The sequence below is a fragment of the Homo sapiens genome, chromosome 8 (genome assembly GCF_000001405.40).
Source record: "Homo sapiens chromosome 8, GRCh38.p14 Primary Assembly".
In the NCBI taxonomy this organism is placed as follows: Eukaryota; Metazoa; Chordata; class Mammalia; order Primates; family Hominidae; genus Homo; species Homo sapiens.
The window spans coordinates 100722191-100743084 of record NC_000008.11 but is presented as its reverse complement, the minus strand read 5'-3'; the positions used below and the strand labels follow the sequence as shown (position 1 = coordinate 100743084).

The 20894-nt window shown below is 43.8% G+C and overlaps 1 pseudogene, besides 4 other annotated features; it reads left to right on the top strand.

Moving 5' to 3' along the window:
* Positions 3158 to 3279, top strand: RNU6ATAC41P (RNA, U6atac small nuclear 41, pseudogene; annotated as a pseudogene).
* Positions 19870 to 20370: an enhancer, noted in NCBI's record as "H3K27ac hESC enhancer chr8:101734943-101735443 (GRCh37/hg19 assembly coordinates)". NCBI's record gives its function as "activates a minimal SCP1, AML or CMV promoter by ChIP-STARR-seq in primed H9 embryonic stem cells {active_cell/tissue: H9 hESC(primed)}" and the evidence as "EXISTENCE:reporter gene assay evidence [ECO:0000049][PMID:30033119]".
* Positions 19870 to 20871: a biological region, named in NCBI's record as "H3K27ac hESC enhancers GRCh37_chr8:101734442-101734942 and GRCh37_chr8:101734943-101735443".
* Positions 20161 to 20870: a silencer, noted in NCBI's record as "silent region_19422". NCBI's record gives its function as "represses an Ori minimal core promoter by ATAC-STARR-seq in GM12878 lymphoblastoid cells {active_cell/tissue: GM12878}" and the evidence as "EXISTENCE:reporter gene assay evidence [ECO:0000049][PMID:35858748]".
* Positions 20371 to 20871: an enhancer, noted in NCBI's record as "H3K27ac hESC enhancer chr8:101734442-101734942 (GRCh37/hg19 assembly coordinates)". NCBI's record gives its function as "activates a minimal SCP1, AML or CMV promoter by ChIP-STARR-seq in naive and primed H9 embryonic stem cells {active_cell/tissue: H9 hESC(naive and primed)}" and the evidence as "EXISTENCE:reporter gene assay evidence [ECO:0000049][PMID:30033119]".

The window sequence follows — 20894 nt, the reverse complement described above, 5'->3', positions numbered from 1 at the left end:
CAGCCTGGATGACAGAATGAGAATCTGTCTTTAAAAAAAAAAAAAGAATGGCTAATGAACTAAACTGAAGTGCATATTTTATATATGCTTGGGATCAGTTCATTTATTCCATTCCTTAGCTCTCTATGATTCAGCAATACCCAAATTCTCCTCTCTCTTACACCATTTCTTTCTTCTTCTTCTTCTTTTTTTTGTGGGCGGGGGGGCGGGGGTACAGACTCTCACTCTGTTGACCAGGCTGGAGTGCAGTGGTGTGATCTTGGCTCAATGCAGCCTCAACCTCCTAGGCTCAAGCAATCCTCCTGCCTCAGCCTCCCAAGTAGCTGGGACTACAGGTGTGCACTACCACACCCGGCTATTTTTATTTTATTTTATTTTTGTTATGTTGCTCAGGCTGGTCTCGAACTCCTGACCTCAAGTGATCCTCCCATCCCGGCCTTCTAAAGTGCTGGGATTACAGGTGTGAGCCACTGCACCTGGCCACACATCATTTCTTTCAGTTTTCCCCAGGGTTTCTTTCCCCGCTTCCCCATCTCCTTAATTCCGACGTGCAGAGCTCTCAAACCGTCCTGCTGTGCAGAGTCCATGCTTTCCTCTCTAAATTCAGTCCTTTGGAAATGTACTCCATTCGCTGTCCCAAATATCACTGCCATGGCCTATCTTCCAGCCACAGAATCCACTCAAAGATCCCAGCGTACAGCATTCAACGTCACTACCCCACTCTCTCTACCCCATCATTCTTCCTGCCCACCTGCCCCCAATGTTTTCACTTCATTCCTTCTGTGATTGGTCCCACTATTTTCTTTTACTGTGGCTCCTACTCTTACTACTTTTACTGATATCCCTGAGTCTGCCCTCCCTCTGTCACCTCTATTCCCTTCCATTCCAGTTGACACCATGATAACTAAAGTCTTCATCCTGGTCAACTGTGAGTGTCTCCTAACTGTTCTAATCTTAAATATCTCCTGGCTCTGATCCAAACCATAGCACATCACTGTCAGATTAACTTTCATCAGACACCACTATGGTCATGACAGGGAAGGGCACACTGCAGAACAAACTATAATGCACAGGCACCAAGCCTGTCGCCAGAGAATTGGCGTGTGCCCGTCCCATGGAGTCCACCCACCTACCTTATCCTCAGAGCTTGACTTCTCTCCCTCCCCATTCACTCTAATTTTTCTCCTTTTTCCTCTCAGACTGTCCTCTGGAATTGAAAATTTATTGCGTCCACTATTTTACTCCTAACTTATTCCTGCCATCCCGTCAGGACTGCCTTTGGACAACCAAAATGGCCTGTGAGAGTGCTTTGCTAAATCTAGTTCTTCAGGTAAAGACAGTTCTTTCTCCTAAGAGGAGTTCTGTTGGCAGATTTTAATCTTAACAATATACTTTTTCTCCCCACTACAGGTGATGAAGGGTGGAAGAGGTTCAGGTTGTAATGGGTCATCAACTACACTTGACCTAGAACAGGTCCTTAGGCAGGAGGTCAGGGCCTCCAGAGGCTTCCTGAGCATACTGGAATCCTGAGGGAAGGAACAGTCTCTAAGGGGGTGGTGAGAAAGAAGGTGCAGAACTGGAGTCTGGCCAATTCCACTCGAGTAGAGAAAGCTGAGCCCCCTTCCCTTGGGATGCCCAGTAGAGAGGAAGCTAGAATCAGAGACACAGAGGCCAAGGAACTCTGACCATATAGAAACCTCCAGCCAAGAAGGTAAACCAAATCATTCCTTGGGAAGGTATTCCTAGATTTGCTTGGGATGACATAATTTTTTTTTTAGTGGATATGCATCTCTTAATCCTGGGAAGATTTAGAATTACATAGAGATATAACGAAGGCAATCAAACCTCATGGTGTTTTTTGTTTTTCTTTTTTGTTTTGAGATGGAGTCTCACTCTGTTGCCCAGGCTGGAGTGCAAAGGCGCTATCTTGGCTCACTGCAACCTCCGCCTCCTGGGTTCAGGCAATTCTCCTGCCTCAGATTCCTGAGTAGCTGGGATTACAGGCGCGCGCTACCACATCCAGCTAATTTTTTGTATTTTTAGTAGAGATGGGGTTTCACCAGGTTAGCCAGGCTGGTTTCGAACTCCTGACCTCAAGTGATACACCTGCCTTGGCCTCCAGAAGTGCTAGGATTACAGGTGTGAGCCACCATACCCGGCCTAATTTGCATTTCTCTAATGCTCAATGATGTTGAGCTTTTTTTCATATGTTTGTTGGCTGCATTAATGTCTTCTTTTGAGAAGTGTCTTTTCCTGCCTAGACATACTTTTAATGTTTACTAAAGTGTCTAAAAATTAACCTTGCACAGGCATGATGGTACACACCTGTAGTCCCTACTACTTGGGAGGCTGAGGCAGGGGGATTGCTTGAGCCCAGGAGTTTGAGACCAACCTGGGAAACATAGCAAGACCCCATCTTTAAAAAAAAATTAAAATTAACTTTGCAATGCTGGTTTAAAGTATATAACTTGCTGATGTAGATTTTTTATTATAATTTTAAAATCTTTTAAAAGTTTATATACTATTTTGGAACTTTTTTATTTTTTATTTTATTGTATTATTTTATTTTATTTTAGAGACGGAGTCTCACTCTGTTGCCCACACTGGAGTGCAGTGGCGCGATCTCGGCTCACTGCAAGCTCCGCCTCCTGGGTTCACGCCATTCTACTGCCTCAGCCTCCTGAATGGCTGGGACTACAGGCGCCCACCAACATGCCCGGCTAATTTTTTGTATTTTTAGTAAAGACCGGGTTTCACCATGTTAGCCAGGATGGTCTCGATCTCCTGACCTTGTGATCCGCCCGCCTCGGCCTCCCAAAGTGCTGGGATTACAGGCTTGAGCCACCGCACCCGGCCCTATTTTAGAACTTTTAAGATAAATTACAACTTACTGTATGTATTAGTTTAATGTATTTGTTTAATGAGAATTCCTTAAGAATTTGGAAAAGTGTGTTAATCAGAAAATTGATGTATTTGAAAAAATAATCAAATTTTTAAATTAATAAATGCAATGTAAAATGTTTAAAATGATTAACCAAGTGGCTCAGACATTGTTTGTTAGATTTATAAATAGCATAATAAAATGGAAATGTTTAATGTAAAAGCTTGAGATTTTAAATGTGAAAGTAGTGAATATTAATTTTTAAAAACCCAAGTAGTGTTGTATGAAAGGAGAGAAAATTGGCACAACTCTTGACAAGGATGAAAGAGGCCCTCAAGCCTGACAACACACATACAGTTAAGGCATTGCCACCTACTTCGTGGCATCTGACCATCCTTAAAAAATAATTAAAAAAAAACAACGTAACTTTTTAACTTTTTTTTTTTTTTTTTGAGACAGGGTCTCACTCTGTCACCCAGGCTGGAGTGGACCTCGGATCACTGCAACTTCCACCTCCCAGGCTCAAGTGATTCTCCCACCTCAGCCTCCTGAGTAGTTGGGACAGAAGGCACTCGCCACCACACCTGCTTTTTTTTTTCTTTTTCTTTTTGGCAGAAACAGGGTTTCTCCATGTTGCCCAGGCTGGTCTCAAACTCTGAGCTCAAGTGATCCACCTGCCTGGGCCTCTTAAAGTGCTGGGATTACAGGCATGAGCCACTGTGCCCAGCCCCAAGTAACTTTTTTTTTTTTTTTGATGGAGTCTTGCTCTGTCGCCCAGGCTGGAGTGCAGTGGCACAGTCTTGGCTCACTGCAACCTCCTCCTCCCAGGTTCAGAGCGATTCTCCTGCCTCAGCCTCCCGAGTAGCTGGGATTACGCTACCATGCCCAGCTAAACTTTTGTATTTTTAGTAGAGATGGGGTTTCACCACATTGGCCAGGCTGGTCTCGAACTCCTGACCTCAAGGTATCTGCCCACCTCGGCCTCCTAAAATATTAGGATTACAGGCATGAACCACCGTACCTGGCCCCTAAGTAACTTCTAAATAATCATTTCAGCGTGAAAAGTTCTAATGAGTTTTTAAAGTCTTTTATTTTTATCTTTCTTTTTAATGCTACCATAGAGAAAGTTCACCAGGAAATATCCAAATCTATAAATGTAAATTCTTCCTAATAGTAAATGTCCAAGAAAAGTGCATTTGAGTTGGGTGAATAGGCGGCAAGTGTGCAGAGTTGGGAAGGCGAGCCAGAGGCTAATCAGAATGACACAATACAAACTCTGACTTCTTACCTTCTCTCCAGACTTGTTTCTCCAGTTGCCTACAGACCTGCAATTGAACATCCTTGCCTCATCTTCAACTTTGCATTTCAAAAACTTAGCTCATCACTTCCTCATCCCCATCTCTCTATTCTTGGCCTCAGCCAAAAGGCTTCCTGTCATAAATAATGTGTTTATTGCACCATAATCAGCCCAATACAACAGGCTGGTCACCTTCCAGTCATTTTTTCACTCTTTCCTCTCCTTCTCTTTTACTCTAAATCCATCAGTCAGTCCTGACGAGCCTTTCATGCTGGGTCCACTTTGCTCCAATTTCCTCAGTCACCACCATCAGCTATGGCCATGTTACCTTATGCCAGGATTACTGCAGCAGTCTTCTGTCAATTTCTCCTGCTGCAGTTCATTCCACACAGAGCTCCCACAAGAGCCATCAAACTTTGTTTTCGCCTCTAATTTGTATTTGCATAGACGTTTATGGGCTCCCCAATGTCTGTCAAATAAAACCCAAGCTCCTTTTGCTATCCAAACGTTTTCACCAATAGGGGTACTCTTAATCTTCATCTTTTATTATTTCTTGATGGGACCCCTCTGTTTTTGTCAAGCTAATTTGCTGGTCCCATTCTCCAATGCCGTTGTGCCTACACACATATCTTTCTATAGTCCATTTCCTCTGTCTGGAAAGCTCTGACCCCTCTTGTTTCCCACCCCTCAACTCTGGTTTCTTCCTTTTCTTCCAAACCCTGTTAAACACTCACCTCTTCCCACACTTTATACTAGATCTCGTTTGGCTATAAACAATTCACAATCTCCTTGGCATCAGTATACATTTCGGTAATTAATGTCCACGTGTTTATATTATTCTGCAACAATGTCTTTGGTTTTGCATATGTATTGTTTCCTTAAAAGACTATATAAAGTTTTTGGCTGGGCACGGTGGCTCATGCCTGTAATCGCAGCATTTTGGGATGCCGAGGCAGGTGGATTACTGGAGGCTAGGAGTTCAAGACCAGCCTGGCCAACATGGTGAAACCCCATCTCTACTAAAAATACAAAAGTGCCTGTAGTCTCAGCTACTCTGTTGACTGATGCATGAGGATTGCTTGAGCCCAAGAGGCAGAGGTTGCAGTGAGCTGAGATCATGCCATTGCACTCCAGCCTGCACGACAGAGCAAGACTCTGTCTCGAAAAGGAAAAAAAATAAGGCTATATAAAGTTTTTAGAGAAGAGTTTTACCACCAAAATTTAATCCCTCCTAAGTTCCAGTAACCGCACCAGTAAAATGGCCATAAAATGCTTTACACAGTAGGGGGCCTGGGAAGATCAAATAAATTGACAATAGAAACTTTGCAGAATGGGCACAGTGGCTCATACCTGTAATCCCAGAATTTTGAGAGGCTGAGATAGAAGGATCACTTGAGGCCAGGAGTTTGAGACGAGCCTAGGCAACTTAGGTCTCCTAAAAAGAAAAAGAAAAATGTTTTACAAAGTTTAAAGCACCAACAAATGCATATTCCCCCTTTTTCTTTTCTTTTTTTTTTTCTTTTTTCTTTTCTTTTTTTTTTGAGACAGGGTCTTGCTCTGTTACCCAGGTCGGGATGCAGCGGCATGATCTCAGCCCACTGCAGCCTCAACCTCTCGGGCTCAAACAATCCTCCCACCTCAGCCTCCTGAGGAGCTGGAACTACAGGCTCATGTCACCCATGCCCAGCTAATTTTGTCTATTTTTTGTAAAGACAAGGTCTCACTCTGTTGCCCAGACTGGTCTCCAACTCCCGGACTCTAGCGATCCTCCTGCCTCAGCCTCCCAAAGTGCTGGGATTCCAGGCATGAGCCACCACGTATTTCTTAGTAATGACAAGGTAAGCACTTGACTAATAAATGTTGACTAAGAGACCAATGCGTGTCAGCTTAGTGATTCAACAAGATTATAAGATGAAGAGCACATACATTATGGCATAAGCAGCATCACTTCATAAACAGCAATCACAGCAGAGCAAGCAGCCTAGTGATTCAAACATACTGAATGTCTCTGACTTACAAAACAAGTTAATAGGACTCCAGATAGATGCTAATGAATCAAAAACCTCACATAAATCACTGTTTCTATGAAATTCATTATGTTTGTTTAATTATGAGGGAATATTTGAAAAGCATAACATTTGTCCAAATTCCCCCAAGTTCTGATCCTATATTTGAAATGCATTCAAATTTGCTTATTCAACCTTTTTTGGTTTAGCAAATATTAGCTGTATACCAACTATATACCAAGCTCTGTTTTAGGCCCTGGAGACATACCAGTGAAGACAGTTCAAGTTCCTGTTCTCAGGGATCTTGTATTTCAATCAGATAAGTAGCATTAAATAAACAAAATAATTACAGATTATAGTTAAGTACTATGAAGAAAGCAGTATAGGGACTGGGTGGGGAGGACTATGGAGGGCATATTTAGGGAAGACATCAATGAGGGTGTCTTTTTTGTTGAGACAGGGTCTCTGTCGTCCAGGCTGGAGTGCAGTGGCATGCATGATCAAGGCTCACTGCAGCCTCAACTTCCCAAGGTCAAGTGATCCTCCTGCTTCAATCCCCCAAGTAGGTGGGACTAAAGGCATATGCCACCACAATCAGCTAACTTTTTTAAATTTTTAAGAAAATTTTTAAATTTTTTGAGGTGGAGTCACTCTGTCACCCAGGCTGGAATGCAGTGGTGCGATCTCGGCTCACTGCAACCTCCACCTCCTGGGCTCAAGTGAGCCTCCCACCTCAGCCTCTGAGTAGCTGGGACTACAGGTGTGTGCCACCACACCCAGCTAATTTTAGTATTTTAAGTAGAGATGGGGTTTCACCATGTTGGCCAGGCTGGTCTCAAAATCCTGGCCTCAAGTGATCTGCCCATCTTGGCTAGAATTACAGGTGTGAGCCACTGTGCCCAGCCTAATTTTTCCAAATTTTAGTAAGGACAAGGTCTTGCTGTGTTGCCCAGGTGGGTCTCAAAGTCCTGAGCTCAAGCAATCCTCCCTCCTTGGTCTCCCAGAGTGCTGGGTCTACAGGTATGAGCCACTGTGCCAGCCAGGATGGAGGATGAAGTAGAGAGGCACAGGAGCCCAGGAGGGAGCATGCCAGCTGAGAGAAGAGTGAGTATAAGGGCCCTAGGGCAGCAAAGAGCTGGCTGTGCTAAGAGGTCTATGTGGCTGGAGCCTCCTGATTAAGAAGTCTGGAGTCAGATCACACAAAGCTTGGTGAGCCTTGGGGAGGAGTTTGGATGTTATTCTTTGTGCAATGGAAAACCACTAAAGGAAATTACATATTACTGAAATTTAAATTGTGTTATTTTTTAAACAGTCATATTTATCATTATAATATCTTGGATCACTTCACAAAACTTGACTAGATTTTGTTCAAAATACAAGTTTTTTGTTTGTTTGTTTGTTTGTTTGTTTGTTTGTTTTGGTGCAGCAGTGCGATCTCGGCTCACTGCAATCTCCATCTCCTGAGTTCAAGTGATTCTCCTGCATTAGCCTCCTGAGTAGCTGGGATTACAGGCATTGCCACCAGACCCAGCTAATTTTTGTGTTTTTAGTAGAAATGGGGTTTCACCATGTTGGCCGGGCTGGTCTTGAACTCCTGACCTCACGTCATCTGCCCACCTTGGCCTCCCAAAGTGCTGGGACTGTAGGTGTGAGCCACCAAGCCCGGCCCCCAAAATACAAGTTTTGAAAAGAAAAAGGACTAGGTATTTTGAAATGCGAGCTTCCTGCATATGGGCAGGGTGCACCAAGTAGGGGCTGTCACAGGCTCTACTTGCTGTTATCATTACCTGTCTTATGAAATTATGATTTTTTAAAAATTATTTTTTGTAGAGACAGGGTCTCACTATGTTGTCCAGGCTGGTCTCAAACTTCTAGCTTTAAGCCATCCTCCTGCCTTGGCCTCCCAAAGTGCTGGGATTATAGGGGTGAGCTACTGTGCCTGGTCAAAATTAGGATTTTTAACATTTCAAATGCAAGTTATCTCGTTGACTGTCAAAATGGCAGACAAGCCACCTTCAGGTATCTTTTAAAACAGATTCTTAAGACTACACAGTCATAGGAAGGAGACAGTTGATGAACTGATATAAAGTGACCCTTAAAATATGTTAAGAGGAATTAAAAATGCCTCGTGAACAACAGTGAAGTACTAACATTACTTGTAAATGCATAAAGTGTCTTTGGGATATGTAAGAAACCGGTAACATCGGTCACACCTATGCTGAAGAGACCTGGGTAGCTGAGGGATAGGATGGGAGATAATTCTTACCATACATCTTTTTGTCATTTTAGTGTTCTGAAACAATATGAATTTACCTATTCAAACAATAAATTCTAAATTTTTTCAATATAGATCCTTATCTGAAAGAAAATGGACAGTCTTCCAGAATTGGTGAGAAGAAATTTGCATCAATGGGTAAACCATCTATTTTTTTGTTTTTATGTTTTCTTTTTCTTTTTCTTTTTTTTTCTCAAGAGGTCACACTGAGGAAAAACCATCTAATTTGAAGGAGGCTTAATAGAACAGTGCAGTGGCTCAGGCATATATTCCCAGAGCTTTAGGGGCATCTCTTGAGGCCAAGTGCTCTAGAGTAGCCTGGGCAACATAGGAAGACCTCCTATCTCTACAAATAAACTTTAAAATTAGCCGGGCATGGTGGCACAAGCCTGTAGTCCCAGCTACTTGGGAGGCTGAAGTGGGAGGATTGCTGGAGCCAGGAGTTTGAGGCTGCAGTGAACTATTATCACACCACAGCACTCCAGCCTGGACAACAGATTGAGACCCTGTCTCTAAAAAAAAATTAAAAGTGGCTGAAAATCTAGACCTATACTGTTCAATACATTAGTCATTAGCCACATGTGTCTATTTTACTTTAAATCTAAATTAAATGAAATTAAACTAAAAATTCAGTTTCTTGGTCACAGTAGCCACATTTCAGTGTTCAGTAACCGTTAGCTACATGTGACTAATGGCTACCATATTGGTCAGCACAGATATACAATATTTTCATCATCATGGAAAGTTCTATTGAACAGCCTGCTATATACTTAAACAAAATACCACCAGAGTTATAAACTGCCTCTTAAAATTTATTTGATAGGCCGAGCGCGGTGGCTCACACCTGTAATCCCAGCACTTTGACAGGCTGAGGCAGATAGATCAACTGAGGTCAGGAGTTTCAGACCAGCCTGGCCAACATAGTGAAACCTAGTCTCTAAAAATACAAAAATTAGCCAGGTATGGTGGCATGCACCTGTAATTCCAGCTACTCAAGAGGCTGAGGCAGGAGAATCACTTGAACCCAGGAGGCAAAGGTTACAGTGAGTCACTGCACTCCAGCCTGCATAACAGAGCAAGACTCCATCTCAGAATAAATACATAAATAAAACAAAACTTAGTTGACTGAAACAAATTCGAATATATTCCAACGCCAGTTTTCCTGAGATGATTCACTAAAATGACATTTTGAGGTGCAATCAAAACCCTCGGTATTCAATTTCTAAGGCAGGCAGGGATACACTGGGAAGGTGCCTACATACACAAATAATTTCGTCACTACAAAAAAAGCGGTTTGCACTAGTAGACACAGGTATTATAGCCTAAGAGTTAAAGAACTATTTTTCTCAATGTAAACTTAAAATTAACATACTTGTTATTTACTGAATTTGGTATCTGCACTGACTCAATAAATGAGTCAGTAGTACTAACATGATAACAGGGTAAATAATGAGATTGATATATTCAATTTCTTTAGTACAATTCATCGACTTATCTCATTTTTGCTATCATTATGAATTCATCACCTCCTTACTTAAGGCATTTCAACTAACTATAGTCATCATTTTCCTTTTGATACACAGTTTAACAGAATCTAGTCAATGCGTGTCCCATTAAACTGGCTTCTGTATTCTCCCATTATTTTCAACACTGTTATTTTTATTTTTATATATATATATTTTTTTGAGATGGAGTCTCGCTCTGTCACCCAGGCTGGAGTGCAGTGGCATGATCTTGGCTCACTGCAATCTCCACTTCCTGAGTTCAAGTGATCCTCCCACCTCAGCCTCCCGAGTAGCTGGGACTACAGGCACACACCATCACAACTGGCTAATTTTTGTATTTTTAGTAGGACAGTGTTTTGCCATGTTGGCTAAACTGGTCTCGAACTACTGACCTCAAGTGATCCTCCTGCCTTGGCCTGGGATTGGGATTACAGGCGAGCTGTAAAATGCTGGGATTACAGGTGTGAACCACCATGCCAGGCCCCAACACCATTACTTTTAGAAAGTACTTGCCTTCTGGCCCAAACAAAATGTTCCAAGACTCACCTGTGCTTCCCTAGACCCAGACATGGAATCAGCCATTTTTCTGAGGTGTGTTGGTTCCTTTAAGTGAAAAATGGTTTTAGACCTCAAAATTTAGCCAGCAGGAGTGCATATGATCAGGCTCATTTTGGTGGTGTAATATTGCTCCTTGGCAATTTCATTGAACAAAGTTAGAAAAGACATATTTTATTAAGTGTTGTTAGTTTGTATGAACATTTTCAACTTAGTTCTTTCATTACTGCATGTCTACTCCAATTTTTTATTCTTCTTCCAAGTTATAATTATATTTCTCTTTCTTTATAACTCAATGAAACACTGAATTATCACTCTAAAAAATGTTAAATTCTTAACAAAGTTAGCATAATCCCTTATTTCTTTTATTTGGCAATAGAAAAAAGCATGAAATAGTAATGCAATTATTAATACTAACAATAAAACTACTGAATAACATTAAAATTCTTTGCTTTTCTCTTAAAATGCATCTCACTAAGGTGACCAAACCAATGATTTTGTCCCTCACAAGAAGTCTTCGTTTTGTTTGCTTACTGAGCACTTCACGAATGTCCGGTTCCATTCTCTTAGTTCACATGAGAGCGTCGGCAGGCAAACAACTGACACCTCTGAGTTCTTAGATGGGAATGGCTTTCAGCTTCTCCATTTTTCTCTTGAGAGGCTAGGATTTTTAAAAAATGCAAATTATCTTATCAATAGTTAAATGGCAGATAGGCTACCTTCACATTATCTTTTAAAAATAGATTTTCATATGAAAGGAAATGAACAATGTTCCAAAATTATTCATGACAAGGAAATGGTATAATGTAGGTAACTTGAGGTAATTCTGATGAACAGTAGGTTTATCATTCAGACAATACAACTATAGATTTGCAAGACAGAGACACACTGGACAGGTACCTACACACATCATTCTGTCACGACAATCATTTGACACACACTTGTCAGGACATAAGCCATTACCACCATTCAGCATAAAAATATTTTCTTGCTCAGCCTGTGGAGCCAAAAGAAAGATTACTAGAAGGGAGTTGTTCATACCTGGTTGGTTTCCTAGAAGAGAAAACAAACCAATGAACCATAGTTACAGGAGCTGTCCCCTAATTAGTAATACAAAACTGGAACTGATTTCATCATTTAATCTGACAGGTAGGTCATTTATGATTCACAAGAGCTGCCTGGCACCTCTGTCATGGCCTACCCCAGAGAAGGCAGTGCTACCACTCAGCACACCGCTAGTGAGCCTGGACCTGGGGTCTCGCTGTGTGCTGACCTTATTTGGGCCTCACTTGGCTCCCCTGAGCTGTTGTTTTAAGCAAAAGGGCTCCTTAAATGGTGGCTATTATCATTTTTCTATTTTTCATTTTATTTTATTTTATTTTATTTTTTCGAGACAGTTTCACTCTTTTGCCCAGGCTGGAGTGCAGTGGCATGATCTCAGCTCACTGCAACCTCCGCCTTCTGGTTTCAAGCGATTCTCCTGCCTCAGCCATCCGAGTAGCTGGGATTACAGGTGCCTGCTGCTGTGCCTGGCTAATTTTTGTATTTTTAATAGAGATGGGGTTTCACCATGATGGCCAGTCTGGTCTCCAACTCCTGACCTCAAGTGATCCGCCCACCTTGGCCTCCCAAAGTGCTGGGATTACAGGCGTGAGCCACCGCACCCGGCTTTATTTTTTATTTTGAGACAGGGTCTCGCTGCATCTCCCAGGTTGGAGTGCAGTGGTGCGATCATGGCTCACTGCAGCCTCCACCTCCTGGGCTCAAGCAACCCTCCCACCTCAGCCTCCCAAGTAGCTGGGACTACAGGTATGCACGACCACACCTGGCTAATTTTTGTATTTTTTGTAGAGATGGGGTTTCACCATATTGCCCAGGCCAGTCTGGAACTTCTGGGTTCAAGCAATCCACTCACCTCGGCCTCCCAGACTGCTGGGATTACAGGTGTGAGCGACAGTGCCCAGCCCCAGCTCTTTTAAAAAGCCCAGATAAAATCACTGACATTTGAGATATGTTGCCTAAAGGGTGCACCACCATCAGTTTCTGTAGATTTCGTAAGCTTTATGTTAAATTTAGTTCTCAACAGGAATGCCATTAGTGCATTACGATTTGCCGTTATTTATTTTTCTTCAGAGACAGAGTCTCACTCTGTCACCCAGGCTGGAGTGCAGTGGTGTGATCTCGGCTCACTGCAACCTCTGCCTCCCAGGTTCAAGTGATTTTCGTGCCTCAGCCTCCCAAGCAGGTGGGACTACAGGTGACAATCACCATGCTCGGCTAATTTTTGTATTTTCAGTAGAGATGGGGTTTCACCATGTTAGCCAGGCTGGCAATTTGCCATTAATAAGAGTTGACAAAAGAGGCTGGGCATGGTGGCTCATGACTGTAATCCCAACACTTTGGGAGGCTGAGGAGGGTGGATTGCTTGAGCCCAGGAGTTTGAGACCAGTCTGAGCAACATAAAAAACCCTGCCTCTACAAAACATAAAACATTATGCTGGGCGTAGTGGCACTCAACTGTAATCTCAGCTATTCAGAAGGCTGAATTGGGAGGATCATTTGAGTCTGGAAGGTGGAGGCTGCAGTGAGCCAAGATTGTGCCACTGCATTTCCAGCCTGGGCAACAGAGTGAGACCCTGTCTCGAAAGGAAGGGAGAGGAGAGGAAAGAAGAGGAAAGGAAAGGAAAGGGGAGAGAGAAAAAGGAAAGAGTTGACAAAAAAATTGTTCTTGCATTAAAAACAATCACTTGAATGTGGCTTTTGTTGCAGAAAAAAATAGAATATAAAAACAAATAAAAATAAAAATCACTATTTAAGACAACTGCCCTAGACAATTTCTCTAGAAAGTAAGCTCCATAAGGGCAGACACTTCAGTGGTTTTAATGTTTTATAACAACATTTATAACAACTCACACTGTAGGCCTAAAAAGCATTTGATTTGTAGTGAATGAATAATTGACTTATATAATTCAATGTCTTTAAAGAGCTACACAATAAATTCTTTTAAAGATTTACTATAGGAAAAAAATTAGTCTTCCTGAATAAAACTGTTGTGCTGCTTTTCATTAGACAGTTAGGAACTTGTTTCTTCGACTTCCAGGAAGATGAAAGTGAGGCCATTTCCAAGAATATCTCAATTGGTCTTCCTTTGGCTCTCATCTTTCAAATCCAGTACTTTTACACCACCACTGGAATTACCTTTTGGAAGAAACCTGAAAGCCAAAAGTTTAGATCCTGTGTTCCCTTTTCATTCGAGCCCTAATCTATTGTTTACCATACTTGCCTCCTCTCCCGCCTGCCTTTATGCCCTCCTATTCACCCTGTTTCAGCCAAGGGATCATCATCCCTTCAACACATGCTGCTTATGCCCACCTCCACCACATTCCTGATGTTATTTCTTCCACCTTACAATGCCCTTTCCTTTCCTTATTCCAAGTACTGTTCTGCCCCCTGTCATTCCCACATCAAAGAGATCCTTTGAAATTTGCACTGCCTGTGTTTGAATCAAAGTTGTTCTACTACTTTAGCCTCAGTTTCCTCACTGGCAATACTGTAGTTTCCTGCCTGATAGGATTCCGTGAGGAGGCAATAAAATTACCCAGGTTCAGCCAGGAGCAGTGGCTCACGCCTGTAATCCCAGCACTTTGGGAGGCTGAGGCGGGTGGATTACCTGAGGTCACGAGTTTGAGACCGACCTGGTCAATATGGTGAAACCCCATCTCTACTAAAAATACAAAAAATATAGCTGGGCATGGTGGTGGCCACCTGTAATACCAGCTACTCAGGAGGCTAAGGCAGGAGAATCGCATGAACCCAGGAGGCAGAGGTTGCAGTGAGCTGAGATTGTGCCATTGCACTCCAGCCTGGGCAACTAGAGTGAGACTCCGTCTCAAAAAAAAAAAAAAAAGAAAGAAAAAAGAAAATTATCCAGGTTCAATAAATATCCATGCTCCATTAATATTAGCTCTTAATAAAATTAAAATTTCTTCTATTTACCTGAAAAGTATTTTTGTCCTTCTTTATATCTTTTTGTTGTTTGTTTAGAGACAGGGTCTCCCTCTGTCACCCAGGCTGGAGTGTAGTGGTACAATCACAGCTCACCGCAGCCTCAACCTCCCTGGCTCAAGTGATCCTCTTGCCTCAGCCTCCCAGTAGTGGGGACCACAAATGCACACCACCGCACCTGGCTTTGTTTTGTTTTGTTTTGTTTTAACTTTGTAGAGATGAGGTCTCACTGTGCTACCCAGGCTGGTCTTAAGCTCCTGGCCTCAAGCAATTGTGCCACCTCGGCCTCCCAAAGTGCTGGGTTCACAGGTGTGAGCCAGCCACCATGCCCGTGCCTGGCCAAATACTTTATATCTTTTTTTTTTTTTTGAGATGGAGTCTAGCTTCGTCACCCAGGCTGGAGCACAGCGGCGTGATCTCAGCTCACTGCCTTTGTCGCCTAGGCTGGAGCACAGTGGCGTGATCTCAGCTCACTGCAACCTCCGCCTCCCAGGTTTAAGCAATTCTCCTGCCTCAGCCTCCCAAGTAGCTGGGATTACAGGTATGCACCACCATGCCCAATTAAGTTTTGTATTTTTAGTAGAGATGGGGTTTTACCATGCTGGCCAGGCTGGTCTCAAACTCCTGACCTCAAGTGATCTGCCCGCCTCGGCCTCCCAAAGTGCTGGAATTACAGGCATGAGTGACCGTGCCCAGCCCCAAATACTTTACATCTTAACCTATGTTCTTAAAGTATTTGTGCCTTAAGAACAGTGGTCCTAGAATATGACCCATTGCAAGAATATTCTCACTGTGACCCCTCTTGGGAGTTTTTTTGTTATGCATCTAATATTTAATATTGTCTCAATGGGGTCATTGCATTTTTCTGTTCTCTAAATTAGTTTAGGACAGTAACAGTTGTATCTCTTTCATGTGTCTGCATGTGTATGTCTCTTTTATTTTTATTTTTGCCCCTCCCCAGCCTCCTGTGTATGTCTCTGCTTAATACTTCTGTCACACATTTGAACTTGGTATCTACCAAATCAATTGATGTGTGGTAATAGAGAGAGATAAGAGGTATTCGATAAGTGGTAGCGCTGTACATTATGCTATTAAAATTTACATATAGGCTAGGTGTGGTGGTTCACGCCTGTAATCCCAGCACTTTTGAGGGCCGAGGCTAGTGGATCACCTGAGGTCAGGAGTTCAAGACCAGCCTGGCCAACATGGAGAAACCCCGTCTCTACTAAAAATACAAAAATGAGCCAGGCTTGGTGGTATGTGCCTGTAATCCCAGCTATTTGGGAGGGTGAAGCAGGAGAATCACCTGAACCCAGGAGGCGGAGGTTGCAGTGAGCAGAGATCGTGCCACTGCACTTCAGCCTGGGGGATGGGGCAAGACTGTCTCAAAAAAAAAAAAAAAGAAGTTTACACATAATATTTTACTCAAGTCTTACAAGAATCCTATTAGGAAGGTAGTAGTATCCCTGTTTTGTTTTGTTTTTTTTTTTGTTTTTGTTTTTGTTTTGAGACAGAGTCTTGCTCTGTCCCAGGCTGAAGCACAGTGGTGCAATCTCAGCTCACTGCAACCTCCACCTTCCGGGTTCAAGCGATTTTCATGCCTCAGCCTTCTGAGTAGCTGGGATTACAGGCGCACGCCACCACGCTTGGCTAATTTTTTGTATTTTTAGTAGAGACAGGGTTTCACCATGTTGGCCAGGCTGGTCTCGAACTCCTGACCTTGTGATCTGCCGATCTTGGCCTCCCAAAGTGCTGGAATTACAGGCGTGAGCCACCGTGCCTGGTCGTAGTATCCCTGTTATATTGAACAATCATTATAACAACTACACTGGTTTAACATAGATGGCTATGCCATTAGAAAAGCACCTTGTAACAAACCTTAGTATTTTGAGATTTCTCTTATTGTCTTCTACAACAAAATCACTAACTACATTTTTTTCCCATTATTGTTTCTGTGTTTCTGAGTCTGTGTTTATGACCCTTGACCTTATGACCCTTGATCCTGCCACAGCATGTTAGCTCTAAACTCCAGGAGCTCTTTCAGGGAGCGTTTCCTGACACGCTGGCTGGGTTCTCATTTCTAGTGCTGAGCTTGGAAGTAGCGGACTTTTGGTACCCAAAGTCAGGCAAGCAGGGACAAGCAAGGACTTCTGGACAACAGGAGGTTCTGGACCTCCAAAGCTGAGGACGCTGTATGGCAGTGATCCTACTAATGTTCTGAGATCCCCTCTTTGATGTTAGCAGTCTGATTGCTCGCCATTTTCTCAGAACTAATGTCAGCTTACAACATCTGACACACAATCTAGAAACAGGACCCCATTTCAAACTCATATAAATTCCTTTCTTCATTCTTGGTTGGTATGAGAAAAATATGCAATGCGTATGGAAGAAAACATAAACTCTAAGTGAGTCTCATTATAGGAATTCCTCTGATCATGGGCATGACAATTTGCAAATCTGAGTAGGTGTTATGTTCCTCACCAACCTGGCAAACCAATTAAGTGGGAAGCTCATCTTCTGAAACATTGCATAGTTTTGATTTTATCACAGACATCATATAATATTTTTTCTATTTCAAGGATCTACAGAAAGTATACCCCTTCAATTGAGAGGGATCTGTTCTCAACGAATACACTTATTATCCATTTCAAATAAATCTCTCTATATTACCTAAAGATCTTAAAAGGCCAGGTTATCTTACATACATTACACAAGATACTATAAATTATCCTGGATATATTCTGAATGTATCCTGGATATAACCTGAAAATTACTTATAAATTGCTAGTGAAGTTCAAGTGAATAAGCTCTCTGGAGAACTTTACAGTTTACTCATTAAATAAAAACAGGTTAATTGAATGACTTTAATGTCATTAGATATTCTTAGGCACCCACAGTGAGATGCTGCACATATAAAGACATTATTCTGTCCCACAGCTTGCAATCTAAAATTAGATAAACACAGGCAAGCCAGATAAACATAGACAGCACATTTTTTAAGACAAAAAAAAATGATAGGAGAGAAAAATGAGAGTAGTGAATCAAAAAGGCAAAAGGAATCAACAAATATTTCATCTTCTGCCTTTTATTCGTAGCCTTAATTACCTCTATCACAAGCAATCAGACTGCTAACATCAAAAAGGGGTCTCAGAACATTAGTGGGATTACCACCATACAGCGTCCTCAGCTTTGGAGGTCCAGAAACTCCTGTTGTCCAGGAGTCCTTGCTTGTCCCTGCTTGCCTGATTTGGGGTACTAAAAGTCCACTACTTCCAGCACTAGAAATGAGAGCCCAACCAGCATGTCAGGAAGCGCTCCCCGAAACAGCTTGTGGAGCTGAGAGGTAACATGCTGCAGCAGGCCAAGCAGTCTGGAGGTGAACACGGCCCTAGGTGCCCATGTGACCATCAGGTTGAGACCTCCCAACTAACCCTCATCCTATATGGTCAGTCTACAAGGCCTAGCTGGCCCTCTCCCTGAAGTTAGGTTTAAAAAGAAAAAATACACCCTCAGTGTGCCAGGCTTCACGGTAGATGGTTGGGATGCAGATAAACATGACATAAGCCTTCTTTTGGCGCTTACAACTTATTTTGGGAGATCGCTCATAAACACACTATTTTGATATAACGTAGTAAATGTAGTGGCAGGGTTGGCGGGGGGCAGGGGAAAAACCAAAGGAAGGGTGCCCAATCCTACCTGGTGGTCAGGGAATGGTAAGTTACTGGCGGAGAGGAGGAAGAATCTGAGAGGCAGAACCAGGAAAGTGTAGCCCAGACGCCAAGAGAGTGTGTGACAAAAGAGAGGGAGGAAAACAGTGTCAAACTCTGCAGATGTCCAGTAAAATGGACCTGAAGAAAGTCCATTGGATTTGTCAAATAGAACAGGGATCATTGGCAACTGTTGATGGGGCAATTTGAGTGCAGCTGGAAGTCATACGGTAGTGTTGAGGAACTAAGGAGAGAGAAAGCAGAAATGAAAAGCTTGGCTATGAAAAAAAAGTGAATGAGAGAGGAATATGTCATTAAGAGAAGATTGGTTTGTTTTCTTTTTGATCTGAATTGACCAGTTTCTGATCTGAGCGAAAGCAGCTGGCTGGAAATAAAAAGAGGTGATTGATGGATCAAGGGAACAGGTTCTTGGTTTCAGTTCCAGATCCCACTCCTGTTTCCTCCTGGGCTCTGACTCTCTCTCCTATTCTATTAAATAGCAGCTCCTTGTCCTCAGGTATGGACTTTGCTTCTACTTTCCCTTGCACATACTCAACTGTACCTCCATAAAATATGACAATGACATCTACTAAGTGCAAGAGCCACAGCTGCATAGACGTCCTGATGACTGGCTCCCTTCCCAAACTATGTATTCACCTACAAAGCACTAATATACTTTTCTAGTGATGAGAATGCTTCCATTTACCATCCAGGGCATCACTGCCTGTCAAGCTGCCCTGGAAGCCTAACAACTGTTTATTTTTTATTTATTTGAGTCTCGTTCTGTCACCAGGCTGGAGTGCAGTGACGCAATCCTGGCTCACTGCAACCTCCGCCTCCCGGGTTCAAGCGATTCTCCTGCCTCAGGCTCCCGAGTAGCTGGGACTATAGGCGCGCGCCACCACGCCCAGCTAATTTTTGTATTTTTAGTAGAGACGGGGTTTCACCATGTTGGCCAGGATGGTCTCGATCTCTTGACCTCGTGATCTGCCCCCCTTGGCTTCTCAAAGTGCTGGGATTACAGGCGTGAGCCACCGCGCCTGGCTACTTTTTGTATTTTTAGTAGAGACGGGGTTTCACCATGTTGGCCAGGCTGGTCTCGAACTCCTGACCTCAAGTGATCAGCGTGCGTCAGCCTCCCAAAGTGCTGGAATTACAGGAGTGAGCCACCGCGCCCGGTCACATTTTATCCTCTTTTTAATAGGAGCAAAATAGTATTTATGTGGGATTCCACTGGTTTAAATTCTAATTAAATGAGACAAGATATAAAGTACTTAATTCCACACCTAGCAATACAGTTGACATCCATTAAAGTTTATTGAATTAAGGAATAAATTGGGCAATCATTTAACTTCTTTGAGACTGTTCCTGTAACAGTAAAGTAAAATTATTACTACTTGCTCCACCTCCCACACCAGATTGCTCTCAGGAACAAATGATAGTATGTTTACGCGAGTGCTTTAAAAACTGTAAAAGCACTTTACTACTTTCGAGTGGAATTTGTATGTTGATTTAATGTCATTCCTAGAGCCGGTTTTTATTACTATCAATTCGTTAAATTTAGCATTCCTATTAAAACCCACTACTAATGTGCAGAATTGTTTTAGTTATTTATAAGGACGTTGTTTTAGACTATTCCTAATTTTGTCTGGTTGCAGGGCTGTGGTGCCATATAGTAGTGATTGTGACAAACCCGTACTTTCAGGAAAAACATTCACTTTTCTCCACTCCTGGTTTCTATCGCCAAGAAATGTCTGGCAGAAGCAGCACAAATCAATGATTCCAGCCTAGCACCTTAAGGTAAGAAGTGACCAAAGACCCCCAACACAGCTATCCCAAATTAAAGCCACTTTGACCAACGACAACGTCCAGTGAAGACACGGAGGAGGGTCGGGCTGGAAAAGAAGAGGACGAGGAACCCGAGGGGCCCTCCCCTCTCTCTCCCTGCCCCCCAACCCCGCGCCGGGAGCTCCAGCGGTGCCGGGGTCCAGCGCGCAGGACGGTTGGGGGGTCCCGGAGCGGGCGGCCAGGACCCGCGCAGCCAGTTGGTGTCAGCGAGCGCCGCGGCCGTTGGGGACTCCAGCTCCCAGCAGGCACCGCTTCTGCGGCCGACGCGCGTGGCGGCGGTGCCGGCTGGGACTCGTAGTGCGGTCCGGGTAGGAGAGAGCAGGGGGCCACGCTGGCTCCATCTACGCACGTTTCGGAAACCGGGCCCGGAGGGGACCACGCCCGCTCACCCGTGCCCGGCGTCCCCCGGAGCTGGGGCTAGAGGAGCCGGGCCGGCCGCAGCGGGAAGAGGCCACAGGCGGCCGCGCACGTGGGGGGTGGTTAGCGCGGAGGAACCCGGAAGCCCTTTGCACCGCCCACCGCCGCGGTGACGGGTTAACGCTCCTCCTGGTGGAGGCAGGGGCGGGCGGGGCGGAAGGCGGGGACGCCTCAGCCAACACCCCCGAGGACCGCCCGCGAGCCGTCCTCCCCACCCCCACGGACGCGACGCAGCGCGGGCTCCGCTTCCCCGGCCGCGGCGCCTGCGCAAAAGCCCCGCCCCTTCGCCCGAGCCCCACCCCCACACCGCAGCCTCCACCGCCGCCACCTCTCCCTTCCTCTCTGCTCTTTCCTCCTGTTTTCTCTTCCCTCCTCCCCCTGGCCTCCGCGTCTCCTCC